This window comes from Homo sapiens, chromosome 1, assembly GCF_000001405.40.
Source record: "Homo sapiens chromosome 1, GRCh38.p14 Primary Assembly".
NCBI classification, from domain to species: Eukaryota; Metazoa; Chordata; class Mammalia; order Primates; family Hominidae; genus Homo; species Homo sapiens.
In genome coordinates, this window is record NC_000001.11 from 157,138,504 (window position 1) to 157,163,521 (window position 25,018).

At 46.1% G+C, this 25,018-nt stretch overlaps 6 annotated features.

Annotated features, from left to right (window-relative positions):
* Window positions 50-419: a silencer, noted in NCBI's record as "silent region_1445". NCBI's record gives its function as "represses an Ori minimal core promoter by ATAC-STARR-seq in GM12878 lymphoblastoid cells {active_cell/tissue: GM12878}" and the evidence as "EXISTENCE:reporter gene assay evidence [ECO:0000049][PMID:35858748]".
* Window positions 50-956: a biological region, named in NCBI's record as "NANOG-H3K27ac-H3K4me1 hESC enhancer GRCh37_chr1:157108646-157109251".
* Window positions 351-956: an enhancer, noted in NCBI's record as "NANOG-H3K27ac-H3K4me1 hESC enhancer chr1:157108646-157109251 (GRCh37/hg19 assembly coordinates)". NCBI's record gives its function as "activates a minimal SCP1, AML or CMV promoter by ChIP-STARR-seq in naive H9 embryonic stem cells {active_cell/tissue: H9 hESC(naive)}" and the evidence as "EXISTENCE:reporter gene assay evidence [ECO:0000049][PMID:30033119]".
* Window positions 15,654-15,948: a silencer, noted in NCBI's record as "tiled region #11922; K562 Repressive DNase matched - State 3:PromF". NCBI's record gives its function as "represses a minimal TATA promoter and a strong SV40 promoter by Sharpr-MPRA in K562 cells {active_cell/tissue: K562}" and the evidence as "EXISTENCE:reporter gene assay evidence [ECO:0000049][PMID:27701403]".
* Window positions 18,951-19,462: an enhancer, noted in NCBI's record as "H3K4me1 hESC enhancer chr1:157127246-157127757 (GRCh37/hg19 assembly coordinates)". NCBI's record gives its function as "activates a minimal SCP1, AML or CMV promoter by ChIP-STARR-seq in primed H9 embryonic stem cells {active_cell/tissue: H9 hESC(primed)}" and the evidence as "EXISTENCE:reporter gene assay evidence [ECO:0000049][PMID:30033119]".
* Window positions 23,815-24,109: a silencer, noted in NCBI's record as "tiled region #527; K562 Repressive non-DNase unmatched - State 21:Repr". NCBI's record gives its function as "represses a minimal TATA promoter and a strong SV40 promoter by Sharpr-MPRA in K562 cells {active_cell/tissue: K562}" and the evidence as "EXISTENCE:reporter gene assay evidence [ECO:0000049][PMID:27701403]".

A 25,018-nucleotide genomic window follows, 5' to 3' on the forward strand; every position in this document is an offset into this window, starting at 1 on the left:
TCCCTTTCCTTTCTCCTTTCAGCAGACGCCGACTTCCGCCCGCACTCCTCCCCCTGCGCGCTCCTCCCGGCCCGCATCCCGCGCATCCGCCCCGGCACGGCCCGTGCGTCACGCTGCGGGGGCACGTTACGCACGCTCGTGGCGGGCGGCCGGCCCGGTCCGCTGCTGGGCCAGGGTCCTCCAGACGCCGAGGGGTGACGCGGCGCGAGGGGGTGCTGAGCTGCTATACGCTTCCCCCGCCAGTCCTGCGCCGTGAGGCAGAACGGACTTTGCGGGGCGAGGCGCTGCCCCGGGGTCCCACCTCCCGGGGGAGGGGACCTCGCAGACCCCACAGGAAGGCCCAGGCGCCGGGAAACAGTCTCTCCCACACAACAGAGAGGCGGCCCGTCTTTCTCCAGAAATGGGCCCTGCGACCTCCCAGAGTGGGGATCCCTCACAATGGGAAGACGGGACCCGCAGACTTCAGACGCAATTTCCCTACCCTTTAAGAAAGGGCCCTTTCATATACGTATGAAAGAAACCGCAAAGCTTTCTCTGAAGCACGTCGCTTTGGCATTTCCTCCCTGGGAAGACTGGGGGGCATGACCGCTTCCCCGCTAGTTCCCACCCCACTGCATTTAGTCTTAATTCGTCCCAGTCTAAGCAGCTTGCAAGTCCTCTCCCTAAGTCATTAAAACGCGTGTCCCCTTTTGGTTTTACCTTTTGTTCCTGCTCGGGCAATTTGTCTGTCCAAAGCATGATTTTTTCTTCCTTTAGAGGCTCATTAAGGATAAAGAATCTCAAGCAGTTCAGCTTTATCTGCAGTCCCACCCCTGTAAATCTGAGTGGTGTCCAGGCATAGTTTCACTCCAGAGGCAGAAGAAAGGGAGTAGTGAGGATCAGTAAAGGTTAAAGAATTTAGAATAAATACGAGCGTGGGGGAGGTGAAGAAGAGAGATGGGATTGAAGGAGAATTGAAGATCAATTTTGATCAAATGGATCAAAACTTTGTACCTCTGCTCTAGTAAGACCTTTGCACCGTCTCTGCCACATGGGACTTGGAGATATTAGTTGTTACAAAAATTGCTTCCAGTTTTGAATGTGCTACTAGTCACTGTGTAGCTCTTGATAAATTAATTAGTAAATTGGCTCCCTCTGGCCTAAAATTACCTTACCTGTTTTTTAAAAAAGATAACATTGTTGTGTCTTTTCTAGTTAGAACTTCCTACTCTGTAGGTGAACAAAATAAGGAGCAGAACTTAAACACCATAGAGAGGGTTACCGATACCTGCAACTAGTCCACTAGCTCTTTGTAGGAACTGTCTATATATTCTTTGCATCTTGTGCATGGTACCTAGAACGGCAACTTACATGTAGATATCAGATGTTTGCTAGAACATTCCTTTAAAATATTGGGGTTCGGCTAAACGGAAATTAAGTCCTTGTGCCTTCATCTACTAGCTTTGTGACCTTAGTTAAGTGACTTAACTTCTCTGTGTCAGTTCCTCATCTATGTGAACATAATACCTACAGTATCTACTGATGTGATTGTTATTAGATGTGTTAATACATGTAGAGTGGTTAGAACAGAGAATGGTATATTTTAAATATGGCAGATGAAAAATGTTGGCAAAGATAATAATCATAAGAATCATTCTTATGAGAATCCTCAATTTCTCATACCACCCATGCAAATCTTAGTAATTGTTACAACTCAGAAACCAGGGTGATCGGGAATGAGTAGTTTCTTCTGAAAGTCTGAAATTGCTCATCTTTGGCTCATAGCTCAAATGGTCATGGTTAGAGCCAGCATGGTTGACTCCAAGGAGCCTGTGCTCTACAAAGGGCCAGGAGTCAGAGTATAGGGACTCTTTCTGCATATTTTTACTCAAGCCAGACTCCTAGGGTTCTCTGCTGCTGCTTCTCTAATTAACGTCACAAAGGATGTCTTGAGTAAACACAATCAACAGAGATAAACAAGTCTCTCTACCTGGCTGGAGTCTAAATTGATATATTGAGAAATGTTTATATTCCAGCAGAACTCAACATTAAGTTTTTACATTAAGAGTCTAATCACTGGCCTGAAACTCTAGAGGTGAATTTGGGTTTGATGAAGGCAACTGGAGATTACCTAATAATTAGTGGGTCTGAATAAATGAGTTGTGGCTGGGATCCTCTCTTGTGGTGGTAGGATCTGGGGACATTAGGATGGCCAGGGACTAATGGCGCAGCATACCCAATGCCCCTATCCACCATTTCCTTCACCATGGCACTGCTGCCTTCTCCATCTGCTGCAAACAGGTTTTCAAAACGTGGAGATTTTTCATGTTCCTGAAATAGGGAGAGCATGAGCTTTCTGAAAAGCGTGGGGGTGGAAACACTTAAGACACTTAGCATAAAAGTCAAGACAGGTTGTAATCTCTCTTGAATTTCCACTTGCTCAAAGCTGTCTTTGTCCACTGACATTACCTTCCTACCCCCTTCCCGCCCATCTTTACAATTGTTCCATATGTCTAGAATAAGTTTCTGTTCTAAATCTAATGCTCTCAATTCCACTGTCACCACAGCACAGCCATTTCACTGCTTCTTAAATTAAAAAAAGAGAAAGGAAATAATTTCTAAAAGTATTTTTCTTCGGAAAAACCCTTTCTGGATTGTTGTGTGTGAGCGTGTGCATTTCTTCCCTGGCTTGTGCTTCTTTATTGACCCCATTTTCATTTATATGCTCCACACCCTAAACTAACCTGGACATGTATATGATGTGAATGCTTTCCTCTCTACTCTTGTAGTAGATGACTGTCTTATTCTACCATCTGTATGTCACAGAAGTATTTGTTCTTCCTAGTGGGTTTGTCTTAGATTGCAGGCCCTCAGGGGTTACAGCCACAGTCAGTAGGTCCTCACACTGCCCAGAGCAGTTCCCTGTCATCATTTGAGATGTCTCATGATGATAATTTCCTTCTCTGCTATCATGTATGCTGATGGGCTGATGCTGATGAGCTTCTGTCTCCTCCCTCAGTCTCCACTAAGTCTCCCAGTAAAAGGCTGGTGACCTCTTTCCCCCAGTTTGTTTTCACTAAACTTGGATTCAGAAGACCTGAGTTTCAGTCCTAGTTCTGTCCTTTGCTAACTCTGTTCTCTGACAAGCCACTGACCTCTGAGGTCCAGCCTTCTCATCTCTAAAAGGGGACGCTATTGATGTCCCTGATAAGGACATAAATGAATAGCAGCTGTGGAGCACTTGTAAACTCTGAAACCCTTTACAAAGCTCAAGGATGTTGATTACGCTTGCTGCCATCCCAGACCTCGCACTGTTCTTTAATACCAACAATTCAAACTTTACAGCAATTTTCACCTCATTTCGCAAGCTTTGAGTGGGGATTTAATGTTTTAGATTTGGGTAGGAATCTAATTCTCAGGACAAAATTCTTTTTTAGAATTTAGGTTCTGGAAGAGTTTCTTATCTAGGCACTATTTTATGAGGCCTAGCTTGAGGCGATACATTGTAATTACTCTGTGCTTCAGTTTCCCCATCCAGAGAATGACCATAATAAGGATTTCCAGAAGGAAAAATAGTATAACATTAAAACATTATTGATGAAATAAAAGAGTGAATGGCAAATATGAAATTGATTTATTCTCACCCTTTGTGACTCAGTTTCCCCTTCAGTAAAGTGAAGATAAATTCTTATAAGAAAGAAAACTTTATTATTTGCATTTTACCACAGTGGACTCCAGTAGCTCATAAGATCTTGTGTTTTGGTTTATTTTTCCCATCAACTCAAGGTTGTTGTGAGGATAGAGGAATTAATGTCAGTAACATGATTGGGGATCCCCAGACTAAAGGTTAAATGAGTCCAAAGCAGAAGTAACTTTGCCCAAAGTTACAGCTCAACCAGAAGGAGCAGAGAGTCTGACTGTTTACTTAGCAGTGACTTGGGGACTCAAGGACTCTCCCCAATTCCACGTCCATCACAGTCCACAAATACCCCTTCCTCTCATTTCCCTTTTTCAGGTGTTGGTTCCCCTCTCTCAAATCAGTGCAAAGGAGAGGGTAGTGAGAGATCACGAAGGAACAGAATGGGAGACAGGATTAACATGAGGAAATGACCATTTAAGCTATTTTGCTGACCCCGCCACCCCCACCCCTGCCTTCCCACTGGCAGCCCAGGAGAAAGATTCCCCTGACCAAATGTGACTGCCAGAATCTATATATTTCTGAAGGCTTGCTTATTCCAGGAACCCTGCTAAGTTAGTTGGAGCAGAGAGCTAGCTTCTTCTGGTCTTAACCTATCTAGGGTGTGTTTTCCAAGGCCTGGCATTTGTTCCCCACACTTATAATACCAGCAACCTTGACCTGTTTACCACATAAACCTTTTTGCTTTCTTTTGTATTTATTCACTATTCATATCCGGCTCTCATTGTGTTTTCTTTATGACTGTCCATATCATTTGTCATCCTAAGAGGGCAGAGGCTGTGCCTATCATTATATAGTGACGAATAAAAATGATAATCACTGTACTAGAGACATAGGGATCATAGTCTAACAAATGCAAGTAATGGAGTGAGGCTTCAAATCAAGTTAATTAAGACTGTTACTTTAAGAATATCTTAGAATAACTTTGCTTTAATAATTACTCATGTATTTATGGACTTGTAGAATCTTAGAGGTGGAGCGAATGTCAGAAGTCATCTATCTCATCCTCTTATGCAGTTGCCACCAGCCTTTCCTTGAAGCCTAATGATGATGTCATGACTTTGCCCAGCAAACTAGTCAATGTTTTTCATCATAAAATATATCTACAAAGAGTATATAAAAATGTATATGGATCAGTTGAAGGAAAATAATAAAACAGTTCAGTACCTACCAGTCAGGCAAATAATCAAAATTAGCATGGCCCAGAAGTCTTCTTTTGCCTCTCTTGGATTTCAGCCAAGTTCAATGCTTAGATCACCCTAATCTGTAGAAAGTTCTTTCTTATATGGAGCTGAAATGTGTTCCGTGGACTCTACACATGACTCCTGATGTGGTGCTGTGATTAAATTTAATGTAATTAAATTTAATGTTTCTTCCAAGTGACAACCCATCAACTGTTTGAAGACAGGTATTATGCCAGAGTTGCCAGAAGAAACATCCTCATCCTTAGTTCCTTTCCTCTTCTAATGTGGCTTCCATAGCCAAACACAATCCTCCACAGACCTGGTCTGACTAGCAAAGTAGAGAGTGAAACTCTTCCCTCCTTAATCTGGGCTTTTTTTTTTTTTTTTAAGATGGCCTTGGATAGGATTGACTGTTTCAGAGATCATAGTACACTGCTGAGTTGATAGTCAAACTCCTCATGGCTTTCTTATGAGGACTGTTAACCCAGGTCTCTTCTGCTAAGTAGATTTTAAACCTAAATGCAAGACTTTACATCAATTACATTAATTCCTGTCAATTTTATTTTGTAAGTTTTCTCTGTTATTCATTCCAGCCTGTCTATATCATCTTAATTTATTAGCATGTATTATTGTATAATTTGACAGACTACTTGGAGCAAGCATGAAAACAACTTCTGTGGAATACATTAAAACACCAGTGTTAAATTATCCCAAACGCAATCAAATATTTTCAGAATGTTTCAGAAGTCACTGCAGGATGGTGCAGTGTCTCATGAATTATTGTGCCTTTGATCTGTGGGATGCCAGTCACTAGTGTTGCAGGTAATGAGATTCCAAATAGCAGAGTGCTTAGTGCATGAAACTCTGGCAGAGAGTTAAAGCCACTGTGGAAAGCAGAGAACATCAAAGTAAGCTAGTCATTATGTTGGCAGTGGGGAGAGGGGAGTGGGAGTTCATGTACAGTAGTTGGAAATCATAAGGAACTGGGAATCTATCATATTTTGGCATCAATTCAGAAGGCGGAACTCCTAGATACATGTATTGCCAGGATATATTTCTCTCAACAATAGATTATTGTAATGGGCTTGGCTAATGTGCTTGCAATAATGTGTGAGGACCGGGTTCATTGGCACAAGTTTTAAAAACTCACCATCATGATAGCAACAGGTCTTGATTTCATAGCAAAAATTTGGGCTGCCAATACTTTAAGGAAAGAAGAAAAACTCAAAACTTGTGAGGAAAACACCCTAGCATGCACCTCCTTCCCCTGGCACTTAGGAAAGCACCTGGGGCACAGAGAACAGGCCCTGCAGAAGCACAAACACACACAAGTGCCATCTTGTCCAGCTTCTCATTATGCAGATGTTGGTTGCAGACCAAGTCTTCTCCTGCCCCTGCATGCCAGTCTGGTCCAGAACGGCACTAGTTTCTCTTAAGTTCCATGTGGAAAATATTTTGCCCTGAGACTGCCCCTGAAGCCCTGAAACACACATTGAACCTGAGTGTTTTAATTGAGCCTCATTACTTGAACTGTGTGTGGGAGGCATGGGACCCTTGGGTCTGAAATAAGGCCAGAGAAGACTCAACTCTCAGTTACACAGTTTGTCTTACGGTGCCAAAATACACTGCTGCTGGGAACCCAGTTACTTGTGGTAACTCTGATTTTTTTGCCTCCCCTGCTTCTCATTTACTCCATGTAATTCTCACATTATCTGCCTGAGTCCTCTCAACTTGATGCGAAGAGAAAAGTGGGAATTCAATGCAAATCATGAGAATCTCTAACATTAGGAGGGTAGCCAGAATTTGGGGAACAACCAACTCATTTACTTGCCCTCACAACCAGTGACACTCATTAGTTAGGTGCTTGGTTCTTCCCTATTCTGTAGAACATGGAAGGTCAGATATGTGGGGTTTCATGGAGCAAATGTGACTCATACTAGAATCCAGCAGTGCTTTGTGTGGATTTGTGATTTGCTTCCTGCAATTCCACAGAACTGAAATCAAATACCTTTTCAGACAGTTCAATCTTATAGTTACTCATGTATCTTTATTTCTCAGTTGAAATTGCTGTCAGTGTTAACAGAGCAATATGGGCCTATTGGCCAAGTTCACTAAGATCATTCTTTTTTTTTTTTGAGACAAGGTCCCACTCTGTTGCCCAGGCTGGAGTTCAGTAGCATGATCTCAGCTCACTGCAGCCTCGACATTCTGGGCTTAAGCCATCTTCCGACCTCAGCCTTCTGAGTAGTTGGGACTACAGGCATGCACCACTACAACTACACCTGGAGATATATATATATATATTTCTTTTTTTTTTTTTGTAGAAATGAGATCTCACTATGTTGTTCAGGCTAGTCTTAAACTTCTGGGCTCAAACAGTCCCCCCTCCTCGGCATCCTAAAGTGTTGGGATTATAGGTGTGAGCCGCTGTGTCCAGCCAAAATTATTCTTTGTTAGAATAGAAATGGCTTGGTGATATAAATACTCGCTGACATACCACCTTTGCTAGTACCAACAGAACAGAAGGGCTGCCCAGTTCTGAATGATGTTTTTCTAGAAAATGCAATAACTGCTTAGATTTGTATAATTATATTTTTCAAAGCATTTAAAAAACATTTTAATTATTAATTCATCCATTATTTATTCATTCCAGAAAAATTCATACAGCAGCTACTGTGTGCCATTCATCATGCCAGATTTTGGGGAGACAAAGCTTACAGAATTTGGTCTCTTCTTATTGTAATAACAGTTCTATTAGCAATACTCCCTGCAATCATTTAAGGTGTGAACCATAGCTTTAAATAAAGTTAAATATTAAAGGTGTTCATATGTTATGCAAGCCAAACATATGAACAGAGTAAACATATGGACCGAGTTTAGTGTAATCAAATATAACACAAACAGGTTCATCTAGTTCATTAAATTCTATCTGTGCATTCCTTTAACAGATACTGGTTGAACACCTACTATGAACCAGGCACAGTGCTTTGCTGGGGGTACACAGATGATTGAAACACTGGTCTCCGCTTCAAAGAGCTAATGGGAGAGGTAGACCCATAAGCAGACAACTATGACTCAATGTGGGAGCAGAGTGCAACAGTTTGGTAACCTACCCAGTAGTCACTCCCAACCCTTTCTGGCTTCCAGAGCCCTCTTCCCGTTATAAAAGTGAGAATGCTTTCCTATCTTTCCTTGTAACCAGGAAAAGGGCAGGTTACCAAATCCTGGTCAGTCTACTGGAAGGATTTTAGCAAAGATTTTTCACCTGAAAACGGAGAGGAACTCCTATCCCTGAATCTCCTTCTGTTATGGGCTGAATCATATTCTCTTAGAATTCATATGTTCAAGTCCTAACTCCCAGGACCTCAGAATGTGACTGTATTTGGAAATAAGGTATTTTAAAGAGGTAAAGAGGTTAAAATAAGGCCATTAGGGTGGACCCTAATCCAGTATGACTGGTATTCTTATAGGAAGAGGACATTAGAATATGGACATTCAACAGAGGGAAGACCATGTCAGGACACAGTGAGAAGAGGCCATCTATAAGCCAAGGAGAGAGGCGTCCAAAGGAGCCAATCCTGCCAACACTTTGATCTTGGACTTCTAGCTTCCAGTACTGTGAGGAAATAAAATTGCTATTACTTAAGTTACCCACTCTATGGTACTTTGTTATGGCAGCTTTAGCAAGCAAATATACCTTTCCTGGTTTTAAATGTTGTCAAGTTTGGAGTGGCTGCAGCCATCCTGCAGAAGGGCTGAGAGAATTGCAGAGGTGCTGACTTAGAACCCAGATATCACTAAGCCAACCCTGGACTCATCTACTTTCAGACTTCTTGTGAAGAGACAATAAGTCCCTATTGTTTTAGTTACTTTAGGTGTGGGAGTTCTGTTACTCACAACCACAAGCGTCCCAATTGATACAAGCAAGGATAGAGACATTGTGGTATTGCAGGGACACCAAGAAGAGGTGTCTAGATGACAATTAAGCTTGGGTCTTTAAAGATGTTCAGCAATTAATCAAATAAAGAACTGCACAAAGGGCATTTCAGGTGGAGGGGAAAATAACAAGAGCAGAGAACACCAGATATGTGACAGAAACTTAGTTACAAGCCTTTGGGTGCTGTAGGAGTTCAAGTGTGGAGCCAAAAGTGTCAAGAAATGAGGCTGCAAAGGTTGGCAGGAGCTGGATAGTGGAGTGAGGCCTCAGTTGCTGCTAAGAAGCTGTGACTTTTTCCCTATCGGCTTGGTCAGAATTATGTGAATGGAAGATAAATTTAAGGGGTCAAAATTGGAGGCAGGATTCTAACCAGAACTTCTATGAGCATTCAGGAGAGAGAGGAGGGAACAGAATCAAGGCAGTAGAATAGAGAGGGGAGTGACTGATATTAGAAAATTCACAAGGCATTTTTTGAAGATGTTGCATATCAATATTATTGTGCTGTATGGCAATTAGGTGTAAAAGGTAAAGGACAATAATTTATAATGTAGCTGAGAACAGAAAGCTGAACTTTATCCTGAATGCCACACTATTTTTATAATTTTTAATGAATACTTTACAATAATGTACTATCCACTTCCTTGTTTTCTTCCACAGAGTTTACTAGACGTAAACTAACCTTTTCTTGATGACTCATGGTCATCGTTATGAAAAAGGGAGGCATGATGGTGTAGAGGAAAGGGCAAAATCATGGTGTAGAGGAAAGGAGCTTGGGTTAGACATCATGCAGTCTGGGTTTATTCCCAGCTTTGCCACTCGCTAATCTGTACGGTCATGAAAAAGTCACTAAGCCTCTCTGAGTATTTGTTTCTTCCTTGGCTGCCTGTTTTACTGTGTGGGAAAGGGCTTGCTAGAGCACCAGGCACCATACAATGAGATGTTAGAATACTTTTTCTAAGATGAAGTGGCATATAACGCAATGCTTGTCTACTTTTGAGTCCTATTGTCCTTTGCTCCTAAAGCAAATCTTTGAGGTTGTTTGCTGTCTCTTTGTTCTCAAAATGCTTCCTTCTCTAGAAGGCCTTTCACTCACACCTCACCTTGCTCTTCAAGGGCCGTGGGCTGGGAAGCCAGAGGTCAAACTTCTTAAATATTTTTTCCAGTGTAACCCAGTAAGGCTCCGTGTGGAGGCCTAAGGACCTGGCTTTGGTTCAATTCGTGTCAGTTATTTTTGGTGCTTAAAGGCCTTTTTCACTTCCGGATTTGGTGCTGCATTCCACAGAATTGAGGTTGTCAGAGCTTAACTTACAGTTAAGCGGGTGTAACTATGGTGCTTTTATACTGCCAAATGAACTATTCAGTTTTAATCCTTCCTGTTGAATTATCTCTTTTATCTCTCTGTAACCAGCTTTCTATGATATCATGGACAGATCTATCCTCACCACCACCCACACACCATGCCATAAATTAAGACAAAAATCTTGACCATAAGTTTTCAACAGAGATTTCTTGCGTTCCCTCTTTTAAGGATTTAGGGTCCCTGAGTTTCCTCCTCCCTTCCCCTGCAATCTAAAGAAGTCCTTGACAGCATTTTGAGGGGCTTTCAGCCCCCCAACACTGTTTGTGGGAGCCTAGGATATAAGGCCCAGGCATAAGAACATGAGTAGTTCATTTAAATCATAGTAGATAATTACATGAGAAGATGTATAGCATCGTGCTTAAAGCTTGGACTTTTGAATTGGACCACTTGAGCTTTGATGTGTTGCATATCTCTCTGGGTACTAGTTTCCTCTTCTGTAAAATAAAAGTAATACTTTCTGGCAAGGAGTCAATGTAATAACGCATATAAAGCACTTAGCACAGACCCTGGTACAAAGTAAGTGCCCCTTAAATGGAAGGTGACCATATTGGTTAGAGACACCAGTCATGGGAGATAGTAAGGCTTACGGGGGAAGGATCTGGATTCCTTCAGACAAAAGGAGAAGATGGAAGTTGTTTGGAGATGGAGAGAAGAGGATCTCAGAAGAGGGTTAGGTGTTTGGGTAGAGTGGGTTCTAGACAACAGGCTAGATTTTGGATTATCCATTGAGGGTAATTTCTGGGTTCTGACCAGGCCAAGTTAGGTCTGGGATGTGGAAAGGAGAGATACCTTGGGAGACTGAGGTGTTCACTACCTTCTTTAGTGACCTCAGCCAAGTCTGAAATTTCAACCATTACATCAAGAAACTCTAGTCTTCATTACCCCAGGTATCCTCCTTTCTCTCTCATACATCTTTCCTTCTGAGTCCCCATCAAGTTACCTTGTGTGGTAGGTTAAAGATAGCATAAATTCTTTGACATGCCTCCCTTAAGAGGTGGGATCTATATCCCCTTCTCCTGAATTTTGGCTGGCCTCTGACTGCTTTGGCCAGTAGAATACAGCAGAAGTGACATTGTATGAGTTCTGAGCCTAGACTTTAAGAGGATTTACAGCTCCCACCTTGCTCTCTTTTAATTCTCTTTAGCTGCTAAGAAGTTTGATTTCCCTACTAGAGAAAGCACATACACAGACCCTGAGACTACATGGAAAGGGGAAAGTACCCAGCTGAGTCCAGCCTCTCGCCACTTTAGGCAAGGTGGAAGACATATAAGCAAAGCCATCTTGGGCTGTGCAGCCCAGCTGAGCCACCAGCTGAATGCCACTGTGTTAGTCCAGTCAATACCTCATGGAGCAGAAGAATCACCCACTGAGCCTTGTTCAAATTCCTGACCTACAAAATCATAATTTACAATAAACTGATTCCTGTTTTAGGCAGCTAAATTTTGGGGTAGTTTATTATGTAGCTATAGATAACAGAACAAAATGACAAAGTAAGGTTTATTTACAGTTTTTTGAGTGGGTACAAGGGAACTTCGGGGATAAAAAGGGCTCCCCATGATCTCCATCAAAATATTTTCAGAGATAACTATTGGAATGAGGAGTACAATCAATCACATCATTGTTACTAATGAAAGGCCCAATGTTCAATTGACCTGGGAAAGGCAATTGACTAAAACTTACCTCACTCCTGTAAGAATGGACTCTACCATTCAAATTATTTCAGGTTTAAATGAAAAAATTTAGGAAAACATTTGGGGGGCCTCCTCCCACTGAATAATGGAAGAGGGTAGAAGGGATGTGGGATAAAAGAATTGGAAAGAGGACTGCAGAACAGTTTCCAGAAATTGACAGTTTTGCTTAGAACCAGAGTTCCATTTTCCTTCAATCATAAGTGGAAAAAAAATAAAATCTCTGCCCCAGGTATCTTGGAGGGGCCAGCCATACACACAGCCTGGGGTGGGTAGGCACTATCCTCAAAACTCAGAACCAAACTCAGAAAAACTGAATTTGGAGAAGTTCCTTGCTCAGGAGCTGGAATTCAGATGCCGGCTCTCCTGGCTCTTTTTCTGAGGGATTTTTCTATTGCATTGTGGTGTTTCCTTCACCCATGTTGCCAAAGACAGAAGTGCTTATAAATAGTGATTATCTTGCAGTTCTCTGGAACTCCAATTCTCAGAAGTTCAACCTTCTTCTCAGAGTGGTAACCTTCTGTCATTTTGAGAAGGTGAGAAAGGGCAGGCGTGTTCCATTATCTTTGATGAAGATGGAAACTAAACATGGAGAGGCGGGCTTGGACACAGCTCATGCTTCGGAGAGAGGCGTACTGATGTGGCGGGCAGAATTTCAAAGGGTTCAGTTGTCTGGCCTCAGGCATTTACCTTCTAGATGGAGATATGGCATCTGCTCCCTCTAAGCAGGATCCGAGCAACTGCAGTATAATGCTGCTCCAGAATCAAGGAGAGATGGGGTAGAGAAGGTACTAGCCAAAGGTGGTCTCGCAGAGGAGGTGATAGGCATGAGCTGGGAAGGAAGAGTAAGGAAGGATATTCTAGGAGGAAATGCTTTGTGCAAAGTTTCAGAAGCAGAGACAAGCAATGTTCATGTTCAAGACATGATAAGAAAATTGCCTGAGATAGAACACAGGCCCTCGCTGAGGAGGCAGGAGAGGTATGATTAGGAAATTAGAGGGAGGGAAAGAGTGATTAATAATGAAGGGAGGCCTGCACTCTTTGGGCCTGTTTCTTTCTGTGGATCTCTGGACCTCCAGTAAGAGTCCTTTGGTCTCAAGACTAAGCCTCTAGCTCTTCCCAGTTCCATTTACATTCCTAACTCCCATCTGTATCTCCTGTCTCAGCAGTGATCACTGTAGCACTCATAGTAGCCACCATCTGTGGAGTGCTAGCCACTGCATGAAGCTCTTTCCCTACATTTCTCTTTTGGCCCTCCTGGAAGCACTAAAAGGGGGCCTGCACTTTATAGATGAAGACTCGGTGAGACTGAGGCAGAGCTGGGAGCAGGTTGAGAGATTTGGTAACTTGCCCCACGAATCCCTCATCAATCATAAGTGGCAGAGCCAGGAAGGAGCCCAGGCTGTTCAACATTAGGCTGTGTTTTCACTGTAATCTATGTGGGCTTTGGCTTTGTGGATGTATGCAGGGCCAGTTACGTAATGTGTGGGGCCTAGTGCAAAATAAAAGTCTGGGGTCCTTTTTTCAAAAATTATTAAGAATTTCAAGATGAAGACAGTAAGCACAGGTCTGAGTGCAGGACCTTGTATGACTGTATGGGTTGCTAGCACATGAGGCTGGGCCTGATTGTGTAGGTCACTGGAGACGCGGGAGGGTCAGACACACTTGGCTCAGTGCTGTCAGCAGCCCCTTATGCCCCAGCCCCACTACTGGCTCCCCTCTCCTTCCTTCTAGTAAATCTCTCAGCACTCTCCTATACGGAGGATAGGAAGGAAGGAAGGCCAAGGAATGGGTACTGCCAGTGGGGAGGGGTGGGCACAGCAGCCCTTTGGCTGATCTGTCTTCAAAGGACCCTCAGTCCCAGAAGCCCAGCAGGGAGCTGCCTTCAGCTCACATTTATGCTGCATTCGGGGTAATATATTGTATAGATATGCCTCCATATAATAAGATATGAGCATGATTAATAATCTGGGAATTCCTGGCTCTGCAATGCCCTTTAAGTCTCTAATTTATCTAAGGTGACTGAGTGCTAGCACTCTAAATGTTGAGAGGAGGAGGCAAAATAAGTAAAGGGAAAGTCAAGGTTCTTGCCCTCAAAGAATTTTTGCACTCTGATTGGGGACACGAGATTTCTAAACATTAAATAATTAGAAGACAAAGCCAAATAATATTTAATTACACTGTCAATTAAATATGACCAAGCACCAAAATATATGTCACTTGCTGAGTGCTGTCTGAAGGAAGAGAAGCTAGGGCTGGCTTGAACAGCATGCAGGCAGCGCTTTGTGAGAAGGTGGTATTTCAGCTGGGTCTTGAGCAGTGGGTAGGAATTGGAAAGGGGGATGGGACAGTTCAGAGGTGGTGTGTAGAGTGGGTGGGAGTGTTAACAAAGCAAGAAGGCAGAACACAGGGTGATTGCATGGGTCTGGGAGGTGACTAGATGGGCTGAGCTGAGGGTGGATGCTGGGCAAAAGAAAGAACTCTGGAGTCAGACTCAGGTTTAAGTCTGGCTCTGCAGAGAACTAGCTGCCCAAACTTTCACGTTACTTAACCTTTCTGATCCTCAATTTCCTCACAATATAATAGTATTTGCCATTCAGGGTTGTTCTAAGGATTAAATGCAAGTAAAGCAATCAACATAGAGCCAGGCACAAAGTATGCTAAGAAAAGTTAGCTATTTACAGTTATTTTGCAGATAAAATTCCACCGGTGAGTAGGATCAGATTATAAAACAACTATCTTGCATTAAATCCTGGCTCCAATCCTTACTAGGTGAGCTAGCTTGGGCAATGTATTTGACCTCTCTGAACCTCAGTTTCTTCATCTGAAAATAAGGATGATAATGTCACCTCCACTGTGGGGGTTGTTGAAAGGATTAAATGACACTATACATACAAAACACTTAGGACAGGCATTGGTACATAATGAAAGCTAATAAATGTTAGATATTATGACAGCCAATCCCCCCCAAATGCAGCAAGGATTTTTTAAAAAGTTTTTTATCATTCCCATATTGTTGTTGAGGAAACAAAGGCTCAGAGGTTGAGGAACTTGTCCAAGGCCACCCAGCCAGTCCCCATAGAGCCACAGCTCCATTCCTTCCACAAAGGAGAAACAGAAACAATCCAGCCTTCCTTCCTCAGCCTTCAAATTGAAATCCATCCCTCTGGTTGCCAGAGCCCTCTGTGTTTCTAGAATAGCGCTTATTATGGCCTGACTTACGCTCAGATGAGTCCCTCCGGGGCAAGGCTGGTGTCTTACTCATCTTTTGTGTACCAGCACCTGACATCAGCCAGCCCCTGGAAGGGGCTTGGAAATGTTTGTTGACTTGAAATGAAATGAGGTGATTGGGGTCAGAGCCCCGGCAAAGGCAGGGCTTGATATGACCCTGTATCTGATGTGTCAGAGGAAAGAGTCAAAGATGTCTGCAAGGTTTCAAGTCTGGGTGACAGGAAGATGGTAGAACTGTTGGCAGAGAATGGGAAGCTGGGAGAAGCAGATGGCCTGGGTTTGAGAAGAAAGTGGGGGGAGGGGTCATGCAAAGTTCAGATCCAGACAGGTTTTGATGGAGAGATGAGGGCCATGTAATCAGGATTCTGTACTGTAAACATCCAGCTGGCAGTTCCCCACCCTGGCCTGTGTGCTGGCTTGTGACCTGACATTCAGGTCCCTGCCCTGGAGTTGCTCCTAATGGGAGAGACCTGAGCCACACCCAGGAAACCATAGTGCTTAGAACACTTACACAGCAACCTATCAACGCCCAGAACACAAAGAGTATTTGGTTATGGTGGTGAGGATGAGGAGCCCTGGAGTGAGTTGTGGAGAGGGTCAGTCTCGGGGAACTTCTTGGAGGAGGAAGAGAAGGAGGCTTGGCTTTGGCCAGGAAGGGAGCATTAGCAGCACAGGAAGGGATGAGAATGAGGGTGGGGTTTGCTCACTGCAGGGAAGATGGGGCTTCCTGCCCTTGGCTGGGATTCTGGGCATGGTCCCCTAATCCATCAGCAGGAGTGCTGGAAGAGGAGTAGTCACAGCTGCTGCGAGGGGCCTGTGATGAGATCTCTAGGGAAACGAGGACAAGAATAACCATTCTAATGCCCAGGATGGCTCCATAGCTCAGCTGCCTTCTTATCTCCGTGCCATGTGGACACCTCACACTCCCAGTCCCTTGTTCATCCATTTCCCTCCTTCCCACGCCCTCAGGCTGTGGGAGGAGAGCACTGCCACCTCCCAGCTGTGTGTGGGGACAGTGGGCCTGGCCACCTGTCTCCTCCTTCACCTCGGCCCCATCAGGGTCCCTTCCTTCTGGGCTGGCAGGGCCCACTCTGTTCCTGACAGACAAATCAGCAGTCTTCCCTGTCTCCCACCACCCCTCTCCCTCTGCTTTGCCCCCAGCCCTCACCCTCTCCCCTGAGCTGACTGATAGGGATAAAACCCTGATACTCAGGAAGAATGGAGGGGGTGAATGCTCTCTTGGGTTTCTGGCTCCTCAGTCTCATCCCCTGGTATCCCCCAGCCCCCTCCCTCACCTCCCAGCTCCTCCTCTTTGGTGGCCACAGCCCCAGCTCTTCCCTTGACGCCCCTCAGGCCTGCCCTCCACCCCTACCCACCTCTGCCTGCAGGAGGGCACAGCAGCACTCCTGCCCTGGCCTGGGCAGCCCTGTCCTTGGGGCAGGGCAGCTCAGCTTCTGGGATTTCCCCAGCCTACAGCCAGAAGGAAGTCTGACTTGGAGAGGGGAAACCTTACTCTTGGCCTCTGTCCAGCTCCTGACAAGACCAAAGTTCAGGGGCGGAGCTGGTTTCCCTGGTCAGCTGGGGACTCCCACTGACCTCTACTTATCAGGATTCGGGGTTTAGGTCTCTGGGCCTGGAGAGCAGGTCAGGGGCAGGGAAACGAGGGGCGGGGGAGGGTGAGAGCTGGAGGGCAGTGTGGTGAAGGAGCTGCCGTGCCAAGGCCCCTGCCCACTTCCCCCAGGCCTGGCTTTTCCTGTCCCTGAACCATGTTGAATGGTGGGGCGGGGGCTCTTGGGACTGTCTCCCTCTCCTGAGCTGGGCATGTGTGCAGGTGGGCGTGGCTGGCTTCACAGTGTCTGCATCCTCAGGGCTGATAAGGGGCCTGCAGCAGCACCACCCTCTCCAGCCCTCTGGGGAACCCCAGCTGTGGCTCCAGAGAAGAGTGGGTTTGGGGCACAATGCACCCGTGGTCTCATTTCGAGACATACAGGGGCTGGAAAGGCGGGGGGCTGGAGGCTGGTCTTCACTGGTGCCTCAGTTTCCCCTTCCCTGGGGCCGTTGCTGGGGGAAAGTGATAAATTCTATGAATGGGGTGGTGGAGGAACTGCCTCCTTTTCCAGGGGCTCTGGCCCAGCAAAGGCTTCACAGTCAACACGAGCTCCTCTATCTCCGCGCTGTCTCTCCTCTGCCCTTACCCCTGGTTGTCCTCTTCACAGGCTCCAAATGGGCCCCTGGGGACCCCTCAGCAGCCAACACAACAGGGAACCAGCAAGAGCCAGCCTCCAGGGAGGACGGGCAGACAACACTGGTGACTCTGCACATTCCACACCCCGCCCACCCTGCCCCCGGGCCACCTTTCCCGTCCCCTGTCCTTCCTCTGTCCTCAGACCCAGGCTGGGGTCTCTTTTTCAGGGCTCTTCTTGGGGGCTGGGCTCTCCCGCCCCATACTCAGGGCAGAGGGAAGAGAGAGAAACTGAGGCAAAAGGGGGTAAGCACGGGTGGGAAACACTGACTGGGCTGGAGTCAGGGTCCGAGTCCGGTGGGGGCCGCAAGCACTCCAGAGCCGAGGACCGGGAGTTTCTGGGGAGGGAGAAGCTGTGCAAGGGGCCAGCGCCCCCTGGTGGAAAGTATTGTAGCGACAGCCACCGCAAGCTGGGTCGCCGAGGCTGGCTGTTGGGGTCACGGGGGCTGTCTTTCCCCTTACCACTTGGGGGTGGTATTAGTAGAGTCCAGAGGAAGAAGGAGCACAGCCCTGCACAGAGTCCAGGCAATATCCGCTTTAGCAAGAGCTGGATTTAAGAAGGACTGTCCAGGAGTCCTTTTCTATTCTGGTGCCCCTTGGGGGAAGTTCCTCCACCCTGTCCATCTCATTTTCTTATCTGTCCAGCGAGTGGTAGGTTATCATGCCATCTCCAAGGCCCTTCTGGCTCTGGCATCTGGAGGTTCTAGGTCAGGAAGGAGCTGATGGTTTAAATTACCTCTCTGGTATGGGAATTTCCTTCCGCCTTGCCTGTGCTCACATCTGCTTCAGCCACACTGGCCTCCTGTTCCTGGAACACACCAGCATGTCCTACCGGAGAGCCTTTACATAGGCTGATTTCTCTGCCTGGGAAGCTAGTCCTCAGATGCCTGCTTGGCCCTCGTTTACTTCCTTCCAGTTTTTTCCCTACTCTCCATCTTCATGCAGCCTGTTCTGACCATTTGATGTAAAATTGAAGCCACCCCTGGCTCCAGGTCCAGAACCTCACCACCATGTACCTTTTCCAGAGCCCTTGTCACATTCTAACATACTGCATCATTTCCTTATTTGTTAATTTGTTTAGATATGAGGTCTTGCTATGTTGCCCAGGCTGGTCTCAAACACCTGGGCTCAAGCAATCCTCCTGCCTCTGCCTCCTGAAGTGCTGGGATTACAGGTGTGAGCCACCATGCCCACCTTCCTTATTTATTATGATTACAGTGAAGTTCTTTTCTCCTTCTAATAGGATGATCAGGGCAGGGAGTTTTGTAGGCTTCCTTTATAGATATACTTTAGGCACCTGGGACAGTGGCTGACACATAGTAGGAGCTCATTAATTATATGTGGAGGGAATGAGTATATCACTGAAGAGGATCTGGGCTGGAGACAGACAGGCCCACCCTAATAGCTCATAGTTAGCATGTAGGTATGATTGTGCTACTGTGACAAAAATAGGGTTTGATTGGAAGTGACCACATTGCTGCTGAGGTAGGGCAAGTGAGAAGAAGGTGAGGGCGTGTAGAGGAGAGCAGAATATAGCTGGCTTCCGTCCTTTGCTGTATCAACAGACTGGCACCCAGTTTACCGAGACATTCTCAGCCTGATCCATGGACCATCAATTCTGAGAGATACTTCTTGAGAAAGGAGGAGAGAGGAAAGGTCAGATAAATTTGGAAAGTGATACAGACCAGATCCCTTCTGAAATATTCATAGTCTCTAGTCCAGTAGGAAAATCAGCTTAAATTCTTTAATATGGTGTTTTGCAATATGTATGTCCATAGGGTTCTGCATTTCCAAATTCCTTCCTTTCTTTTCTTTTTCTTTTTAAGCTGAGCTCCTGCTAAATTAGTATTCTGACTCATCAGATACTTTGGGAAATGCTGACTTACAAGATGAGGCTTAACTCCCGAGCATGGCATTCAAAACCGTCGTGGTTTCTTCCAGTGTCTCCAGACTAGTCTCAAACATGCCCGATGTTTTCCCCATCCCACACAGTTCCTATTTGTTCATGGTTCTTTCAGCGGCCCCCTGCAACTCCCACATCCCCATCTCCAAAACTCCTTCCTGGCCCAGATGGAGTGCCCCTTTCCCAACCCTGCCTGCGGGTACTGTCTACACCCCTCGGTGTGCTTTTCCCATCCCCCTGCTGGGTCCCAGTTGCTCTTTTTCCACCTTGGTTTGCTGCCTCCTGGAGCTGCTCCTTCCAGGCATGTGTGAGGTCTGCTCACTCTGCTTCCCCAGGGCCCACTCCTTGAGCGGCTTCAGTGGATGCAGGACCCACGCAGTTCTGTGGCTGCAGAGAGGGAAGGGACACCAGCTCATTGCCTCTCACACTCCAGAAGGGGGCCTTGCTGATACCTCTGTTAGCACTGACCTCTGAGTGTCTTTAGTATCTTCCTCTCTGTGGATCCTTCTGTCCTTTCAAAAGTGCTGAGCAGTTGCCGTCGTACACATGACTGGATTTCTCCAATGGACAAATAGTCAATGATATGTATAGATAATTCACAAAGTTGAAATACAGCTAGTTAAACTTTTGAGAAAATGTTCTAACTTACCAGTAGTCATGGAAATACAAATTACATTTGATGCAACACTGTCAATAATGTGTATCAAGAACTGTAAGAATATGCATATGATGTGCCTCAGTTACCCTCACTGTGAATAAATCCTAAGGAAGAAAACAAAAATATTGGAAACACAAGGCACTTTTAAAAGGCCTTTTTAAATGTGAAAAATAACAGACAGAAAAGTACATAATAAAACAAGTGTAAAGCTTAATGAATTCTCACAAAGCAAATGCCCAACATAAGCACCACTACCTCACAAGATGGATACCACCGGCCCCTCGAGGCACTCTGTGTCTCTTGCCAATCACAAGGCCTCCCTGCCTACGCCCTGAGAGAACTTCTGCTTGTTTTTGTTTAGAGTTTGACCCCTTTGGCACACATCATGAACACGATGATTTGGCTTTGCATGTGTTTGGGATTCACACATATGTGAAATCAAGTGTTTGTGTTCTTTTGTCTCCAGTTTCTTTCACTCAACGTTATGGGAGCCTTTTCCACAAGTCCTGGGATGCAGGTGCATTCTGCTAGTGAAGTTAGGGGTTGAATCGCCGAGTCACAGGGATTATTAGTGATCATGTGTATAAGCCCCTAACACAGTGCCCAGTAAGTGGTGGGCACTTACTACATGTTTCATTCTTTCCTCTCCCCTATGGAGAAGGGCCCATCTCCATCCCTGGAGCAGGCTCCTCCCGCTCCCGTACCCAGTACTGACTGGCTTCCCTTCCTGCTTCCACCACTTCTTGCCCCCAACCTGGTATCCCAATCCTCTCTTCCCAGGCTGCTGAGGACAGGGCTCCAGTCAGTGTTTCATCCCCTCCCCTGTGTACACAGCTCAGCCACTCCTGCGAGGGCTCCTCATGATTTGCTTTCAGGGACAAGAAAAAGCCAACCCAGGCTGTGCCTGCTCCTGTGCCTCCCACCCCTCATTCTGCAGAGGCCCTTTGTAGCAGAGACAATGGCTGCTTCAAATTTCAGTCCGTCTGTCTGTACAAACAAATGGAAACTGTTTAATATGTACTTCACAGGAAGATGAATACTCAGGCCTTTTTTTTTTTTTTTTTAAATTTTGGAAAGAAGATGAGCCCAGGTGAGCTGTCCAGGGATGGGAGATGTAGGGATGAGAGGCATGGAAGCTGCCTGGCTTGGGCAGGGGCAATGATGGGCAAGACTGGGGGCCTGAGAAACAGCCTTGGTGCATTAATCCCCTCTCTCTTTCATGCTCTGCCTTTTAAAAAAAATCACCTTTTGTCTCCGATGCTCATTTTCTGTGTCTTGTGCCATTTTGCAAGATGGGTCTTTTTGTGAACACCCCTGTTGTGTCTCAGGTTCAGGAAGAATTCCTGAAAATTCATATGGACTAAGGAACAGGCTTTACTGGGGAGACTTACCAAGAGAGGTTGGTAAGAAGAGAAGAGGATTGTGACCCTGCTCCTGTCATCATGCCATGGAAAGGCTTGGCTGGGCCTTGGGGATTTGCTGGACGCACAGACAGTGGGCTGGGTTCCAGAGGAGGGACCCTGTTCCCAGGTTGCTCACCTTTCTTACAGGGCCAACGGTGAGAGTACCCTGTAAGTGTGTTAAGCCTTTTCTGTGTGTTATTTTTCACATTTAAAAAGGTCTTTTAAAAATACAATGGGCCGGGCTCGGTGGCTCATGCCTGTAATCCCAGCACTTTGGGAGGCCGAGGCGGGTGGATCATGAGGTCAGGAGATCGATACCATCCTGGCTAACATGGTGAAACCCCGTCTCTATTAAAAATACACAAAATTAGCCGGGCGTGGTGGCGGGGGCCTGTAGTCCCAGCTAGTTGGGAGGCTGAGGCAGGAGAATGGCGTGAACCCAGGATGTGGAGCTTGCAGTGAGCCGAGATCGCGCCACTGCACTCCAGCCTGGGGGACAGAGCGAGACTGTCTCAAAAAAAAAAAAAAAAAAAAAAAAAAAGCGATGGATAACTTTTGAGCCTTGCATTTCCAGTATTTTTGTTTTCTTCCTTAGGATTTATTTGCAGTGAGGGTAACTGAGGCACATCATATGCATATTCTTACAGTTCTTGACACACATTATTGACAATGTTGCATCAAATGTAAATTGTATTTCTATGACTACTGGTAAGCTAGAACATTTTCTCAAAAGTTTAACTAGCTGTATTTCAATTTTGTGAATTATCTATACATATCACTGACTATTTGTCCATTGGAGAAATCCAGTCATGTTTAGGATGGCAACTACCCGGCAAAGGGACAGACAGGTCACTGACTCCAAGAGTTCGGGTTCAGTGTCAGCAACTAATAAGGTAGACGTCTGGGAGAACCAGCTGCCCAGCACAAGGGACCTGGGGGCATTTGTAAGTGTTTGGGCCTGGGAAATAGAGCTGATTATCTCATGGAAAATTGTCTGTGGGTGCAGACTCTCCCAGGAGATGGAAGAAGCCCTAATACCAGTTGAGTGTGTCCATGAACCCCAGATTGAGCTCCAGAGCCATTTGTGCCCAGTTCTGCTCCTGGCTCCCTAGGAGTGCTGGAGATGGGCAAACATGTTTGCTACATCTGTGGATTAGTCTGTGCACTCGGGTTTGAGGGAAACATCAGGACACACGGCCTGCAGTCCCTGTCCCCAGTCCTGAGCCTGCACCAGGTTCTTGGTCTCCATGTGTTGGGGCAGGTGCCAGGGAAGGTGCTGACAAGCTTAGGTTGGAGTGGCGGGAGGAACCTTCTCTGTGAGAGCCCAACAGAGGTCGGGACCTCTGGGACCTGGGTGGTCAGAAGGCCGGGAGCAGAGTTCCAAGCAGGCAGAAGCCTCTGAAGACATACTGGAACCTGGAATTCTTTCTGAGAGAAAAGTATACTCAGCCCCTTGTCTGCAGCGATGCCCTGTGGGAAGAATTCTCCCTGTTTGAGGGGCTGTGTCACCCTCTGGTGAGCTTGGTTTCCAGAGGAGAATTGTCTCAATTCTACAGGCTTCCACCCTTAAAGCCTTTGCGTGCTGTGTCGTATCACCCCCTGCAAATGTTTACTTGGCACCTGCTACCTGAAGGGCCAGTAGGAACCTAAGACACAAAGTTGAAATGATTGTCCTTGGCCTCAGGGACTTCGTTTCCTATGGAGGCTACAGTCCCTGCCCCTAGCCCGATGGTGTCCAAAGTCGTGGTGAGAGTGGGGGTGTTAGTTCTGTGCTCTTTTGTATTTTCGTCCTGCAGATCTGACCTGTGACACTGGGCTTCTCTCCCCATCCCTGGATCCTGGCTGGCCTTAATCCCAGTATGCTTGGCTATGGCTGTGCCTCCCTGCGTCGGGGTGCACCTCTCTTCTCCATGCCCCTCTTTCCTGGCTTCATCTTGCTCTGAGTTGTCAATGAAAAGAATCAAACTGTGCAAAATATTGGAAGAGATTTGTTCTGAGTCATGTATGAGGACTGTGGCCTGTGACACAGCCCCAGGAGATCCTGAGACCAGTGCCCAAGGTGGTTGGGCTACAACTTTGTTTTACATGTTTTAGGAAGACATAAGACATTGATCAATATGTGTAAGATGTATACTGGTTCTGTCCAGAAAGATGGGACAACTTGAAGCGGGGGCTTCCAGGTCATAGGTAGAGTCAAAGATTTTCTGATTGGCAATTGGTTGAAAGAGTTATTATTTAAAGACCTAGAATCAATAGAAAGGAATGTCTGGATTAAGACAAGGGATTGTGGAGACCAAGGTTTTATCATGCAGATGAAGCCTCCATGGAGTACGCATCAGAGCTCTTATCAAACCTAAAAAGGCGCCAGACTCTTAGTTAATTTGCTCCTGGATCAGGGAAAAGACGTCGAGAGGGCAGAGGACTCTCTACAGAATGGGAATTTTCCCCACAAGAGACAGCATTACAGGGCCATTTCAAAATATGTCAAAGAAATATATTTTGGGGTAAAATATTTCAGTTTCTTTCAAGGCCTGCTATCTGTCACATGATGCTATACTAGAGTCAGGTTGGAATTTGGTGTCTTATGCTACGCAGAATCTGTTTTGTTAGTCTTAAGATCTCTGTTTGAATGTTAATGCTGGTCAGCTGTGCCTGAATTCCAAAGGGAGGAGGGTATAATGAAGCATGTCTAACCCCACCTCTTCCCATCATGGCCTGAACTAGATTTTCAGGTTTACTTCGGAATGCCCTTGGCTGAGACGGGAATCCATCAGTTGGTTGGGGGCTTAGAGTTTTATTTTTGGGTTTCAGAATGGATGCTCTACCAGAAACCTGCTGCTACTGCATTCTGCTCTCACCCTTGCCATCGGCTCCTGCTGCCAAACATCAGCCTCCTAGTGCCTGCCATGGGGCCCAGCAGCCCTCCCAGACCCACAGCAACCCTCTGGACACTGAATCATGCAAAATGGAAGGGGGTGGTGGTGGGAGTCAGTTCTCCCCTCCTCAATCCTGTTTACTTCCATCTCCTGTGCTGAGACCCCCATCATTGTGAAGGTGGATCTGGGGACAACCTCAGGCCATGGGCTCACCCAGTTCCCTTTTGGCCTTCCCCTGCCAGACTGTTATGCTACTGGGAAATTTTTAATGTATGAGAAGCTCATTCTGCTCTTTTTCTTTTTTTTGATTTCTTGAGACAGAGTCTCACTCTCTTGGCCAGGCTAAAGTGCAGTGGTGCGATCTCGGCTCATTTCAACCTCTGATCCCGGGCTCAAGCAATTCTCTTGCCTCAGCCTCTGGAGTAGCTGGGATTACAGGCATGTGCCACCATGCCCTGCTAATTTTTCTATTTTTAGTAGAGACGGGGTTTCACCATGTTGGCCAGGCTGGTCTCAAACTCCTGACCTCAGGTAATACACCCACCTCAGCCTCCCAAAGTGTTGGGATTACAGGCATGAGCCACCGCTTCCGGCCTGCTCTTTTTCTTTTTAGAATAATTCCAAGGCTGTTGCTTTGGCCAGCCTCTAGCAGCCCTCAGGACACTCAGGTGCAGACTCAGGAGTGTTCACCCACACCCGTGGGATCGGCCCCTCCAGTTTACCTGTGCCTTAGCCTCCACTGGGGCAGAAACCTGGACCTCAGGGCCCCTGAGCTACATTCCTTCCCATTCCTGCAGCCCCTTCCCCTCCTGGTGACCTGTGGGCTGCACCTGCCCCCTGCAGGTGATCCTGCTCTCCTC